The sequence below is a fragment of the Homo sapiens genome, chromosome 11 (genome assembly GCF_000001405.40).
Source record: "Homo sapiens chromosome 11, GRCh38.p14 Primary Assembly".
Taxonomy (NCBI): domain Eukaryota; kingdom Metazoa; phylum Chordata; class Mammalia; order Primates; family Hominidae; genus Homo; species Homo sapiens.
In genome coordinates, this window is record NC_000011.10 from 114,522,827 (window position 1) to 114,538,615 (window position 15,789).

Sequence of the window (15,789 nt, forward strand, 5' to 3'; positions counted from 1 at the left end):
AGTACTTTAAAACCAGCCTGAATTTCTAAGAGAATATAAAGTAACTACCTACTTTTTACAACTTTGGGGAAGTAGTAGATCCACTGACGTAGTGTAGAGTCTCCCAGGAGGTAAATGAGTTTGCCTTTCAAACAGCCATTTATCTTAATTGTGTCTAACTGAACCTGGTTGCAAAATGTTGTTATCCATTTTCCTTGTAAAGTATAACCACCAGGGACAGGAGGCTTCATTCCAACTTGGCATGTCTCTTCTATTTTTTCTCTCTCTGGTAACAAAGACACTCGTAAATGATTTTATTGGCAAAACTTAGACATCTAGCCTTCTTTCCTGGTCTTTCATTTTCTTGCTCTCTTTCCCCCTTCCTGTAATGCCTATTTCCTTTTTCTGTCCCTTTCTAGTCCTATTCTTTGATCATTAGCTTTGCTTCAGGCACTTCTGCTTATTCCTTTAAGAGATTTTGAGTCATCTTGCCTTCTGTCTAATTCCTTTCCTCCTAAATTTGGTCATGAGCTAAATCTTGACGTTCTATCCTTTCTTTGACGTTCTATCCTTTTTTCCTGACTCTGTGGTGACTTCTGTCTTTGTCTCTTACCCAAATGATGTTAGTGGTCTGCCAGTTGGTGCCGCTGTATAAAATTCTTTACCTTTGTTTCATTAATGAAGGAATGAATAATCTTAATTTTTCCGTGTTCAAAAAATGGCTTAAAATATGTACATTAAATATAAAAACCTCAAATAGTATAATAGTCACCTAGCTTGACAATTTTTTGTAAAACCAGACTTTGCTAAAAGCAACATGCAACATCCAATACAAACCAATATTCTGAGATAATCCAGGAAGTTTCACTAGAGTTTCAGGCTCTGTTTGCACATGGTCTGCCTTCTATTACAGGTAGGTAGCAGTGAAGCAAATGTCTTGTTATGGCATAACAAAGGGCATCCAATTTCTCCTGTCATGTTTCCTTACCACTCTCTATGCTGCCATCCCATCACTGAGCCAATGCCTTGTATTTTAGGATTTGTTATATCAGGACTTCTATACTGATACTACGTTCTGTATGAGATAGGAAACCAGTTTGAATGCTGTAAGAAAGACCAAGATAATAATGACTTAAAAATAAAAGATTATTTCTGTCTCACATAACAGGCCTGGAGTGAGAAGGCCAGGGCTAATATGCCATTGCATGGTGTCAGGGACTCTTGTTCCTTCTATGTTGTGGCTATGACATTCTTACTGTGTGGCTTTAATCTCATGGTCTAACTTGGCTCTTGCTGTTCTCACATTATATCTAAAGTTCGGCTAGTAGTAAGGGAAGAAATGGATAGGGAGGGCCAGTTGTTTTGCTTTTAAAGCATGACCTAGAAGTTTCCCACTTGCACTTCTGGAAAAAACTTAGTCATGGCCACAACTAGATATAAGAAAGGATAGCCATGGGTCTAGCCACAACTGGTTTCTATTACTAAAGAAGGAGAAGGCAGTGAGTATTGGGGAACCATCAGCAGTTTCTGCTTTACCCTCCTTGCTTAGTTCCTCAGAGGCCTTGCAGTCTCTGGCTGCCTATGTCCACAGAATAGTGCATCATTACATGGTTGTATTGTATTTGTAACCTATGGACAAAGTGGTAAAATGGTGCTGGTGGCAGAATTGGAAAGTGCACTTGGAATAGCTCTTAAGTCCTGGTGATTTGGCTTACTAAAGGGAGTTTGTATAATCCTATAATTATGTTGGAATTACAGTGTGATATTGATGGGTTTCTATGAGGCTTGATAGCATTGCACCCTAGATGATTGAATACCATGACCCTGGAAACTTGAGATTCATAGTTATTAAGTATTCTTTATCCTAATAATGTACTGGCACACTTTGCTGAGAACATAGCCTTTAAGTGTATTGTTGTAAACCCTATGTTGTGTAATCTTTATGTGTCAGGTATTCATTTTGCCACGTCTCAAACTTATAACAAATTTGCTTATGATTACTCTTACATGTTTATTTTACTTAATAGTTTTAGAATAAGCTTGAGCATTTTGAACAGTATGTGGGTAATAATATCAGGATTCTGTATATCAGGCAAAAGCAACTCCATTTTAGATGCTAATCTGCTATGTTGGCTCCTGATTAACCCCGGTTTATCTAGTGTTTCTTGTATAACAGCAGATAATTATGGTAAATCTTGCCCGTAGGTCAAACAGCCTTGGTGGTATTGTACTTCAATTGTCCTGTACATCCCATCTGAACCACCCTTCCCTTATGCTCTGTAAGCCCTAGATCTGGGGGTAATGGTGTGGAGATCCACCATCTTGTCTCAACAATGGAGACATAAACATGGCTTCTGCTTGTAAGTCCCTACTAAATGTTTCGAGAAACTGGATGTGTCAGACTCTTTTTTGGCCTCTCAGCTTCCTCAAACTTTGGGAGTAGGTTTGCATAGACCTGCCCACTGAGAAATAGATTCCATTATATTTTTTATTAGATAGGGAGACTAATAGTCCCCCAAAGATATCCACATCCTAATTCTTAAAACCTGTGAATATGTTGAAGCAGAAGATATAAAAAGAAAAACAAGTTTTCCTGTACTAGGCTGACCCACTCTAAGACCCAGGGAAGGGCAGGGCTCTGATGAGGCTTTGGTAGCATTATCTGCAGAGCCGGGTCCCAGAAGGGATGGGCTTCAGAGTCTCTCCCTCCCATCCCAAAGCAAGGTTGGGAAAAACAAGTTTTTCTCATTCAGCTTCCCCCTTCCCCCCTTACTATTCTTAAAATTATCTTTGCAAGTTTTGTAAGTGCCTGTTTTTCCCTTCTGTGCAGCACAGTGAAGGTCACAACATATGCCTGAGTTGCAACACCTGGCTTGAGTTGTAAAACCTGTCACTGTTTGATAAACTGCCTTTGTTCTGCTTCTGTAAGCTTGCTTGCCCGCCCTGTAGGTTTTGCACCATTTAGTGAAGTGTATATTCAAGCTAGCCAATACCCTTTCAGGTACATGTATAAGAGTCAAGCCCTGTCTTTGTTCGGGGCTCAGCCTTTGGAAGTTAATCCACTGGGCAGGTAGCCACCTAAATAAAATCCTCTTATTCCATCCATTGGTCTCTCCTGTCCCTTAATTCCCACAACAATGTTGCCTTTTCCAGTTATGACCAGGGTATGGCCTTTGAGATGGAGAGACTATCCTGGATTACATGGGTAGGCCCAATCTAATGTCATTGGTCCTCAAAAGTGGAAGAGGGAGGCAGAAGAGTGGGTCAAAGATGTGACAGGAAAACTTGACCCTCTGCTGTGGCTTTGAAGATAGAGGAAGAGGGCTGCAAGGAATGTGGGCAGCCTTAAAAACCTGGAATAAGCAAAGGAACAGATTCTCCCCTGGAGCCTCCAGGAAGGAACATGCTCCTGCTCTACCTTGGGATTAGCTCAATGAGACCAGCATTGGACATCTGGACTACAGACTATAAGATGATATATTTTTGTTTTTTAAAGCCACTTTATTATAGCAGCAATAAGAAAATGATACATAGACAACTGACATTCTTTTAAATATAAAATCATCCCATCTAGAGACAGTATTTTTTCCTTCTATTTATATGAATTTTATTTTATATTCCTTAGTGACATTTTAAATTGCCTTTCTGCAGATCATGCTTTTGTTAAATTGTGAATTTGCATTTTAAACCACAAAGTGGATCATACCACTCTCTTCCTCAGTTGGTTTCTGTGGCTTTCAAGTCTACTGAATAATCACTGAAATCCTCAGCATGACACTTGAGAACCTTCATGATTAGGTTCTTCCTCTCTTTCTAGGCTTATCCTCTGCTGCATTCCACAATATGCTCACCCCATTGGCCTATTGAAGAAGTCCATGATGACTTTGCTCATGACGGGAATTATCAGGTAAAAAGAGTTAGATAAAAAATACAGGACACCGTATTAAATTTGTATTACTTCTAACAAGGAATAATTTTTTAGTGTAAGTATGGTCCATGCAATATTTTCCCCTTTTCTCAATGTATATATGACAGGCAATTAGAAATTACTCATATTCATTTGATTCCCTGTATTATTATTTGCTTAAATCCAGCAACACTACCCATGATCTTTATGAGGTTTCTCTTCTTCATTCTCTGACTACACGTATCCTTCAGGACTCAGTCAAATACCAACTTTAACATAAGCTCTTTTGCCTCTTTACTGTCTTCATAGAGTTCGTAGATTGAATGTCTTTCACATTGCAAGCTAACTGAGCATTTACTTTTCTCCATTTGTCCATAATGCCTGATATCTATTCAGTGCTCAGTAAATGTTTGCTGATCCTTTTGTAGTTCAGAATCATGATGATTGGGTTTTCATGCTCATGTGTGAGATGTGCCTCCCTCAAACCTTGTTATGACATCAGCACATTACCCATATGATGTGAGGAAAAATAAATAAATAAACATTTGTGGAATAAATGAATAAATGGTGGCAATAAATTATTATGAGTTGAAGTAAGTATCATGATGGATGTTATCGGTAAACTAAGATAGACTTTATAAAAAGTTGTTTTAAAGCTAAGGTAGTATAAATATTCTTTCATAAGTAACAGGGCTTTGTGTTTGTCTTTAAAACATATAATCAGATGAAAGCTCCATATAAAATTGGTAATTGCATCAACTAAATGTTAGGGGGTTATGCCAACAGAGAGTTAGGAAACCAAAACCGAAAGTGTTCCTATTCTGAAGCTGTAGATATCCGTCCTTCAAAGACATTTGCACAGTGCCTAAGACTCTAGGAGATGAACTCTCAGGTTTAAACACGAATGTAGATACTAATACTTTCTCCTTTTGGATATATCAAGATGTAATCTCCTATAAACATTTTGAAATCATTTCCTTGAGTTCATTTCTCCCTTTAAAGTCCAGCATGATTGACATCATAGACATCTGCTAGGAATTGTGCTCCAGGAGAACTACAATTATTTAGGTTAATGCTGATAAAAGTTTCCTCTGAGCATCACCTAACTCAGGACAGAGCCAACTTACTGTTACAATTAGTGACATCAATGTGTTTACGATCCTTCATCATTTCAACTCCCACTTTGGACCTTCAAAAAAAAAATAGAACAATAAATTAGCCTGCTCTCTGCCCATGTAACACAGGTGAATCATCTGCTTGTGAGTGAAGGAAAATTTTTAGTTTTCTATAACTGGAAGCTGTTATTATTGTTGTAAATTTTAGATATATTGGGTATTGTAAATGAGTGAGGATTTTGGAAGACTTTCTACCCTGCTGAGAGCACCTGAAGTCCAAAGCAGCTCTACCGATCTGCCACATGTAATCAGTGTGTCCTGGAATTTTAGATTCAAAATATTTATCTAATTTACAAGTTCTCTTCTCTCTTTCTGCTTCCACATCTCCTATTCAAGTTTGCAGAATAGTTTCCTTGGATTACTGTGAGCCTCTAATTGGTCATGCAAGTCTCAGTTTTATCCCACCTAAATTTTTCAATACGACTGCCAGAGCACCCTTTCTCATTGCAAATCCAACTGCACTACTGCTTACATCCCTTTATTGTCTCCCCATCATGTACCCAAGGAATCCAGCCTTTTTGGGTGGCAGGTAGACCTTTTATCAGAGGGCCTCTGCTTCATTTTTAATCCACATTTCCTGCTATGATTACCTTTGACTTTTCTGACAAACTTGCTTTCTGAAGATCATAAGCTTTATGAAGGAAGGTAATGTGTGTGTCTGGTCCACTGCTGTATCCTTAATATCTATCAAAGTGACTGGCAGAAAGTAGTGTTGAATCCGATGTGTTAATAAATGTACCTTACATTTCTTTCCTCCAATTGATGAAAGATCACTCTTCCTGCTTGAAAGCTCTTACTCACACTTTGTTTCAAACCTCTGTATATGGCCATGAAAGTGGAGGAAGGAAGAAAGGGATTAAGGGGAGAATGAGGACCCAGGTGCCAAGTATAACAGATATAAGTGGTACCTGATTTCCTGCTATAGATGTCTCTCCAGGTGCCATCCTGAGAAGAGAAAGGATCAGCATGTTTTCATCCTTACTAGGATTTAGGCATAAGGATGGTTGATGGGTAGGAAGAGATTTGATGAGATGTACCATCAGAGATAAAAGGGAGGGAACAGAAACTTAACTGTGCTTTTACTTTTCAGAAGGGAGCCAGGGACTATAGATCAGGAGCCAAAACTTGGATAATGAGGTAAGATTCTGGAATGCATGTTATTTTGTCATGTTTGGTGCCTACTCTTAGCATATTTTTTTTGAAAGCTTATGGAAAAAAGACTCTAAACTTGACTTTGAAAACTGCTAGAAAGGGATTTCTGTGAACCTAGCATTCTACTCTGTCACCAAGCTGAGGAAAAATAAATCTTCGTGGGGGAAAATAAAAGGGTACTGGCAGAATTGAAAGAGAAAAGGAAATGGACTGAGCCTCTGAGACTTATGCAAAGTTAGCAAATGAGCAAAAGTCTCTGGAACTGATAGAAGTCTTAGGGCTTGGCTCACAGTTCTGGGATTTGTGATAACAGATAGTTATCCTTTGCAAATCCTCAAAGTAGCCCATGAAGGAACCCTGATGTTTCATTCTAATCAACAAAGTGGTTTTCAGGTTAGTGGATAACAGGGAAACCAGGAAGTGAGCCTCTGTGAGTCGGGGGAGAAAAGCATGGCATTGCCACAGCCATGATTGATAGAGGAAACATGCTTCCATCCCAGTTTGTGGAGGCCTGTTGAACCAGGGGTTTGCAGGAATCACTAGGTCACAACATGAGGAGTAAGAAGGACTCCTCCACCCTGAGAGGTATATACTGAGGAATATCTGATCATGGGATCAACTGGAGAAAACCAGTAGGAATTGGCTTTTTAGAAAGATCACTCAGTGTAGAGAATGGATTAGAGAGGGTATGACTGCTGGGAGAGAGACCAGTTGGGAAGCTGGTATGGGTAATCTAGATAAGATGATGATGGTCTGAACTTGAATAGCAGCACTGTGCGTGGGGGGAAATGGATCAACGCAAAGATATTTAAGGGGCAAAATTAACAAAATATGATATGGGAGGTGAAGGAGCATGGATGTTATCATACACTTATCAAGGAATCTTTTTTTCAGTGGAACATCTGTGAACACATAGAAGAACGGTTATAGCAAAACACATGACTGAATGGGACAATATAGTGAAAATGCAAACTTTGGCCTAGAGTGGTGAGTAGAGGCCCCAAGAAGACACCACATGTCTTACCTTGAGTACAGGAGGCCTCTGAGTCATGCTCAATGTTGCAATGGGCAATGTAGCTCTGACTGGGGCACTTCTCAGGGGACACTTCTCAGTATACATGAAAAGTATACTCACCTGTGGAAAAGGCTGTTTTCCTTGTCTGTAAGATAAGATACCTCTCTATTCCGGGTGGTCATGTAGGTCAGAGCCTCACAGGGCATGTGTTGAGGCTTCATACAATAGAAGGCTTCTTGGTCTCTGTCATCCAGATATTCACAGAGTTCAGCATTTGAGTTTAGGGTCAGGCCACATTCAGTGAAGACATGAGAGGTGCCATTAACAAATTTGCCTTTGAAAATAATTTTATCATAGCCTTGGTTCCTTGCCCTCCAGAGAGCCGACGCCCCTTCACTGGGGTGGATGAGCAGCAGAGACAGGGAGACCTGGCCCTCCCAGAACAGAGTGAAGCTGACCAGGTAGGTGCCATTGTTGAAGTCCATCACCTTTCCTGAAGCACCTGCCGTCAGTGCTGGGGAGGACATCCTGGCCCTCAGGAAATCCCCACCATATTGCTTCCTCTGTCCCAAGTGGTCCCTCACCTCCAGTAGGATGTCCAGCTGGTCTCCCCTGCAGTATGTATCTCGAGGGTTGAGGATGGTGGCTGTGCTGTGTGTGGCACTGGTGGTGGTGTTCACATGGGTGAAAGGTCTGGGTGGGATCTGCTGATCTAGTTTCTCTATGATTTCCTTTATTCTGAGTTCAGTCTCTGTTAGTGGCTTTAATGGTATCAGTGATGTTTTAGGGAATAAGGACTTTGCGGAGTTGTTCCAGTAATGGACAGAGATGGATAAGTTTAGAGCAGACCAAAGCTGAAATGACAAGGATTGTGATATACTATGAAATTAACCTGTCTAATCATTTTTACTTATTATGAGTTTGAATATTTGTTTACAGTGAATATTTGTATAATTGAATTCAATTTGTTACCAAATTGAATATTTGGTAATAAAGTGGCATAATAAACCAAAAGAGAAGAGAAACAAGGAAATGAGATATTATGATGATGATATAATATTATTATATATTATTATCAATATTATTTAAATTGTGATAATTTTGTATAAAATGTAAACATTTATGCTTTTACCTCAATATTTTAGAGAATGTCTGAACAGTTGTAGATATATTCAATCCAAAATATATAGCTCAGAGAATAATTATGAGCAATAAACTGGTGATGATAAGTTTACTCTTTCTTTTCATATATGCCTTACATCCAGTAACATCTGTACCTTTTAGTCATGCCTAGTAGTCTTTTTCTCTCCAGCTGTATCACAGTTCAAGCCACCGTCATTTATCTCCTGGATTATAGTGGCCACCTCAAGGATGATGACTGTCTTCAGGCTTCAAGGAAGACAGTCCTGCTTTCTCTCCATTTAATTTCCTCTTCTGTTGCTAAACCAGTCCTTTTTAAAGCAAAACTCTATTTGTGTCATCTCCCAACTTAACCCCCTTCAATGGCTTCTTGTAATTCTTGGGTAAAATCCATTTGTAATATGGCTTTTTCTGTGGCCTATTTTCAACTCTACTTCTTGCTACTCTCTTCCTTGCTTTTGATGTCTTGACAAGACTTCTTTTATTTTTAGGAGCTGACCTTCCTGTCTTTCAGCTCTTGCTCTTTACTAATACTTTCTCCTCTTCCTGGATTGCTGAATATCCCCTGAATTCCCCCAAACCACCTAAACATCTCTTAACTTCTACCTTAGAAATCACTACAACCTCAGAGGTCACTTATGCTTTTGGCACTATACGGTGCTTTATAAGCACTCAAATTCAGTGATTTTCCAATCTTGCTGGTAGTCAGAAACACCGGCCAAGCTTTTTTAAAAATATGCACTCTTAGGCTTCAGTCTAGATCAGCTGATTCATAATCACTACATTATGTTGTCCAGGAGTATGTTTTCCAAAAGCCTCAAAAGCAATCTTAGGATCAGATAGATTTGAGAATGATTACAGACCAGTAGTTGTCATCCCCTCTCACACTTTAGAACACATATAAAGCTTTGAAAAAAATTCAGGCCTGGCTGCACTGCACCCCAGCATTGGGCAATAAAACCCTTGTGATTGGTAACAAACTGGCAGAGTAAGCCAAAGGAGAGGAGAAACAAGACAATGAGATATCATTTAAAAAAGATGAACAGAACCCACATTGAAGTTTTGAAAAAACCTTGGCAAAGCCAAAAGACAAATCATTGGCAATGCCAACCAAGAAATAGAGATGCAAATAAATGAAATTCCCCCAAAAGAACCTTTTGGTTCTCTGGAAAATATATATCTGGAAAATATAAAAAACTTACATTATAAAATAGATAAAAATACAATATAAAAATAGAATAGAAAATAATCATGTAATATATAACAGTAAGAATAAGAATATAATCATCATGATGATAAACCTTTTTCTATTTTTCCCACCTCCACAAGTCACAGGCTGAGATGCTTTTATTGGTGAGTACAGACATCCCTAACTTATATAACAAGGAAAAACAAACCAATTAATTTTATAAGAATGGAATATATTTTATACTAAAACTAGGTAAGTATGATACAAGAAAAGTACAGGCCCATTTTATTCATGGAGATGACTTTTAAATTCTCTGTCTCTTTCTCTCTGTGTGTATGTGCATATATGCATATACATATAAAAGTATATAGGTAGATTAGATAAATATATACAGGTGTGTGTGCATTTGTCATGGTTGATTATGGGTGAATTCAGGGTTGTAAAAATGGTTCTAGAGTGAAAAATCTTGTAGTATAATTTATATATTAATGGATTAAAGATAAAATCTCATGATTTTTCACTGTTCTCAGACTTATCTGATTGGATTGCAGCTGCAATAAAAGGATTTGATGTATTTCAACATTTACTTAGCATTACAATTCAGTAATAGGAAACCTTAAACATTTTAAAAGTCAAGGAGGCAAGGATGTTAGCCACAATTAACTGAATTAATGTTCAACATAACGTTAGAAGTCCTGAACAATAAAATAAAACAAACAAACAAAAATCCAAGGTATGAGAATGATGGGGGGAGAAACAGACTTTTTTTCCCTTCTTTTCTTTATTTTTTATAGATGTTGTGACTGTTTGCAAAGAAACCAGAGTTAGCAAATTATTAGTATTAAGATAGCAAGAAGCCGAATACAAAACAAACTCACAAACTCAAAAGCATTTAAATTATAGACAATACATTCGAGCGGGGTGGAGCCAAGATGGCAGAATAAGAACAGCTCCAGTCTACAGTTCCCAGCATGAGTGATGCAGAAGACGGGTGATTTCTGAATTTCCAACTGAGGTACTTGGTTCATCTCATGGGGAGTGCCGGACAGTGGGTGCAGGACAGTGGATGCAGCACACCGTGCATGAGCTGAAGCAGGGCGAGGCATCGCCTCACCCGGGAAGCACAAGCGGTCAGGGAATTTCCTTTCCTAGTCAAAGAAAGGGGTGACAGATGGCACCTGGAAAATCGGGTCACTCCCACCCTAATACTGCGCTTTTCCAATGGGCTTCACAAACAGCACACCAGGAGATTATATCCCGCACCTGGCTCAGAGGGTCCTACGCCCACGGAGCCTTGCTCATTGCTAGCACAGCAATCTGAGATCAAACTGCAAGGCGGCAGCAAGACTAGGGGAGGGGCACCCACCATTGCTCAGGCTTGAGTAGGTAAACAAAGCGGCCGGGAAGCTCAAACTGGGTGGAGCCCACCACAGCTCAAGGAGGCATGCCTGCCTCTTTAGGCTCCACCTCTGGGGGCAGGGCACAGACAAACAAAAGACAGCAGTAACCTCTGCAGACTTAAATGTCCCTGTCTGACAGCTTTGAAGAGAGCAGTGGTTCTCCCAGCATGCAGCTTGAGATCTGAGAATGGGCAGACTGCCTCCTCAAGTGGGTCCCTGACCCCCAAGTAGCCTAACTGGGAGGCACCCCCCAGTAGGGGCAGACTGACACCTCACACTGCCGGGTACTCCTCTGAGACAAAACTTCCAGAGGAACGATCAGGCAGCAGCATTTGCGGTTAACCAATATCCGCTGTTCTGCAGCCACCACTGCTGATACCCAGGCAAACAAGGTCTGGAGTGGACCTCCAGTAAACTCCAACAGACCTGCAGCTGAGGGTTCTGACTGTTAGAAGGAAAACTAACAAACAGAAAGGACATCCACACCCAAAACCCATCTGTACATAACCATCATCAAAGACCAAAGGTAGATAAAATCACAAAGATGGGGAAAAAACAGAGCAGAAAAACCGGAAACTCTAAAAATCAGAGCGCCTCTTCTCCTCCAAAGGAACGCAGCTCCTCACCAGCAACAGAACAAAGCTGGACGGAGAATGACTTTGACGAGTTGAGAGAGGAAGGCTTCAGAAGATCAAACTACTCTGAGCTAAAGGAGGAAGTTCGAATCAATGGCAAAGAAGTTAAAAACTTTGAAAAAAAATTAGATGAATGGATAACTAGAATAATCAATGCAGAGAAGTCCTTAAAGGACCTGATGGAGCTGAAAACCACAGCACGAGAGCTACGTGACAAATGCACAAGCTTCAGTAACCGATGTGATCAACTGGAAGAAAGGGTATCAGTGATGGAAGACGAAATGAATGAAATGAAGCATGAAGAGAAGTTTGGAGAAAAAAGAATAAAAAGAAACAAAGCATCCAAGAAATATGGGACTATGTGAAAAGACCAAATCTACGTCTAATTGGTGTACCTGAAAGTGACGGGGAGAATGGAACCAAGTTGGAAAACACTCTGCAGGATATTATCCAGGAGAACTTCCCCAATCTAGCAAGGCAGGCCAACATTCAAATTCAGGAAATACAGAGAACGCCACTAAGATACTCCTAGAGAAGAGCAACTCCACGACACATAATTGTCAAATTCACCAAAGTTTAAATGAAGGAAAAAATGTTAAGGGCAGCCAGAGAGAAAGGTCGGGTTACCCACAAAGGGAAGCCCATCAGACTAACAGCTGATCTCTTGCCAGAAACTCTACGAGCCAGAAGAGAGTGGGGACCAATATTCAAAATTCTTAAAGAAAAGAACTTTCAACCCAGAATTTCATATCCAACCAAACTAAGCTTCATAAGTGAAGGAGAAATACAATACTTTACAGACAAGCAAATGCTGAGAGATTTTGTCACCACCAGGCCTGCCCTAAAAGAGCTCCTGAAGGAAGCACTAAACATGGAAAGGAGCAACCGGTACCAGCCACTGCAAAAACAAGCCAAATTGTAAAGAATATCAAGGCTAGGAAGAAACTACATCAACTAACGAGCAAAATAACCAGCTAACATCATAAAGACAGGATCAAATTCACACATAACAATACTAACCATAAATGTAAATGCGCTAAATTGCTCCAATTAAAAGGCACAGACTGGCAAATTGGATAAAGAGTCAAGACCCATCAGTGTGCTGTATTCAGGAAACCCATCTCACATGCAGAGACATACATAGGCTCAAAATAAAGGGATGGAGGAAGATCTACCAAGCAAATGGAAAACAAAAAAATGCAGGGATTGCAATCCTAGTCTCGGATAAAACAGACTTAAACCAACAAAGATCAAAAGAGACAAAGAAGGCCATTACATAATGGTAAAGGAATCAATTCAACAAGAAGAACTAGCTATCCTAAATATATATGCACCCAATACAGGAGCACCTAGATTCATAAAGCAAGTCCTTAGTGACCTACAAAGAGACTTAGACTCCGACACAATAATAATGGGAGACGTTAACACCCCACTGTCAACATTAGACAGATCAACGAGACAGAAAGTTAACAAGGATATACAGGAATTGAACTCAGCTCTGCACCAAGCAGACCTAATAGACATCTACAGAACTCTCCACCCCAAATCAACAGAATATACATTCTTTTCAGCACCACACCAAACCTATTCCAAAATTGACCACATAGTTGGAAGTAAAGCACTCCTCAGCAAATGTAAAAGAACAGAAATTATAACAAACTGTCTCTCAGACCACAGTGCAATCAAACTAGAACTCAGGATTAAGAAACTCACTCAAAACCCCTCAACTACATGGAAACTGAACAACCTGCTTCTGAATGACTACTGGGTACATAATGAAATGAAGGCAGAAATGAAGATGTTCTTTGAAACCAATGAGAACAAAGACACAACATACCAGAATCTCTGGGACATATTCAAAGCAGTGTGTAGAGGGAAATTTATAGCACTAAATGCCCACAAGAGAAAGCAGGAAAGATGAAAAATTGACACCCTAACATCACAATTAAAAGAACTAGAGAAGCAAGAGCAAACATATTCAAAAGCTAGCAGAAGGCAAGAAATAACTAAGATCAGAGCAGGACTGAAGGAAATAGAGACAAAAAACCCTTCAAAAAAATCAATGAATCCAGGAGCTGGTTTTTTGAAAAGATCAACAAAATTGATAGACCGCTAGCAAGACTAATAAAGAAGAAAAGAGAGAAGAATCAAATAGACGCCATAAAAAATGACAAAGGGGATATCACCACCGATCCCACAGAAATACAAACTACCATCAGAGAATACTATAAGCACCTCTATGCAAATAAACTAGAAAATCTAGAAGAAATGGATAAATTCCTTGACACATACACTCTCCCAAGACAAAACCAGGAAGAAGTTAAATCTCTGAATAGACCAATAACAGGCTCTGAAATTGAGGCAATAATTAATAGCTTACCAACCAAAAAAAGTCCAGGACCAGATGGATTCACAGCCGAATTCTACCAGAGGTACAAAGAGGAGCTGGTACTATTCCATCTGAAACTATTCCAATCAGTAGAAAACGGGAATCCTCCCTAACTCATTTTATGAAGCCAGCATCATCCTGATACCAAAGCCTGGCAGAGACACAACAAAAAAAGAGAATTTTAGACCAATATCCTTGATGAACATTGATGCAAAAATCCGCAATAAAATACTGGCAAACCGAATCCAGCAACACATCAAAAAGCTTATCCACCGTGATCAAATGGTCTTCAACCCTGGGATGCAAGGCTGGTTCAACATATGCAAATCAATAAATGTAATCCAGCATATAAACAGAACCAAAGACAAAAACCAGATGATTATCTCAATAGATGCAGAAAGGGCCTTTGACAAAATTCAACAACCCTTCATGCTAAAAACTCTCAATAAATTAGGTATTGATGGGACATATCTCAAAATAATAAGAGCTATCTATGACAACCCCACAGCCAATATCATACTGAATGGACAAAAACTGGGAGCATTCCCTTTGAAAACTGGCACAAGACAGGGATGCCCTCTATCAACACTCCTATTCAACATAGGGTTGGAAGTTCTGGCCAAGAAAATGAGGCAGGAGAAGGGGATAAAGGGCATTCAATTAGGAAAAGAGGAAGTCAGATTGTCCCTGTTTGCAGATGACATGATTGTATATCTAGAAAACCCCATTGTCTCAGCCCCAAATCTCCTCAAGCTGATAAGCAACTTCAGCAAAGTCTCAGGATACAAAATCAATGTGCAAAAATCACGAGCATTCTTATACACCAGTAACAGACAAACAGAGAGCCAAATCATGAGTGAACTCCCATTCACAATTGCTTCAAAGAGAATAAAATACCTAGGAATCCAACTTACAAGGGATGTGAAGGACCTCTTCAAGGAGAACTACAAACCACTGCTCAATGAAATAAAAGAGGATACAAACAAATGGAAGAACATTCCATGCTCATGGGTAGGAAGAATCAGTATCATGAAAATGGCCATACTGCCCAAGGTAATTTATAGATTCAATGCCATCCCCATCAAGCTACCAATGACTTTCTTCACAGAATTGGAAAAAACTACTTTAAAGTTCATATGGAACCAAAAAGCCCACATTGCCAAGTCAATCCTAAGCCAAAAGAACAAAGCTGGAGGCATCCCGCTACCTGACTTCAAACTATACTACAAGGCTACAGTAACCAAAACAGCATGGTACTGGTACCAAAACAGAGATGTAGACCAATGGAACAGAACAGAGCCCTCAGAAATAATGCCACATATCTACAACTATCTGATCTTTGACAAACCTGACAAAAAGAAGAAATGGGGAAAGGATTCCCTATTTAATAAATGGTGCTGGGAAAATTGGCTAGCCATATGTAGAAAGCTGAAACTGGATGCCTTCCTTACACCTTATACAAAAATTAATTCAAGATGGATTAAAGACTTACATGTTTGACCTAAAACCATAAAAACCCTAGAAGAAAACCTAGGCAGTACCATTCAGGCCATAGGCATGGGCAAGGACTTCATGTCTAAAACACCAAAAGCAATGGCAACAAAAGCCAAAATTGACAAATGGGATCTAATTAAACTAAAGAGCTTCTGCACAGCAAAAGAAACCACCATCAGAGTGAACAGGCAACCTACAAAATGGGAGAAAATTTTTGCAACCTACTCATCTGATAAAGGGCTAATATCCAGAATCTACAATGAACTCAAACAAATTTATAAGAAAAAAACAAACAACCCCATTAAAAAGTGGGC

At 39.5% G+C, this 15,789-nt stretch overlaps 2 protein-coding genes and 1 non-coding gene across 13 annotated transcripts in view; 2 read left to right on the forward strand and 1 right to left on the reverse strand.

The window, feature by feature from the left end:
• NXPE2 (neurexophilin and PC-esterase domain family member 2) overlaps window positions 1-15,789 on the forward strand; it is a 349,427-nt gene that overhangs the window by 58,551 nt on the left and 275,087 nt on the right. For both annotated transcript variants that reach the window (XM_017017209.2, XM_017017207.2), the window contains 4 exons: window positions 3,797-3,886; window positions 6,152-6,198; window positions 7,108-7,200; window positions 7,607-7,689. The gene's annotated coding sequence lies outside the window, so the exon portion shown is untranslated. The remainder of the gene's footprint in view (window positions 1-3,796; window positions 3,887-6,151; window positions 6,199-7,107; window positions 7,201-7,606; window positions 7,690-15,789) is intronic.
• Window positions 1-15,789, reverse strand: part of NXPE1 (neurexophilin and PC-esterase domain family member 1) — a 40,948-nt gene that overhangs the window by 3,893 nt on the left and 21,266 nt on the right. For 9 of the 10 annotated variants that reach the window (NM_152315.5, XM_011542598.4, NM_001367953.1 and 6 more), the window contains 3 exons: window positions 7,349-8,082; window positions 5,014-5,075; window positions 53-265 (listed from right to left, as the gene is read on the reverse strand). In NM_152315.5, the coding sequence (NP_689528.2) occupies window positions 53-265; window positions 5,014-5,075; window positions 7,349-7,755 (682 nt within the window). In that variant the 5' untranslated portion in view covers window positions 7,756-8,082. Of the gene's footprint in view, window positions 1-52; window positions 266-5,013; window positions 5,076-5,969; window positions 6,007-7,348; window positions 8,083-15,789 lie in introns of those variants that run through there. The other variant, XM_047426373.1, reaches the window with a different exon arrangement.
• On the forward strand, window positions 4,303-4,406 carry LOC124902825 (small nucleolar RNA U13). The gene has a single exon (XR_007063010.1). It is a non-coding gene; the product is annotated as a small nucleolar RNA U13 (small nucleolar RNA).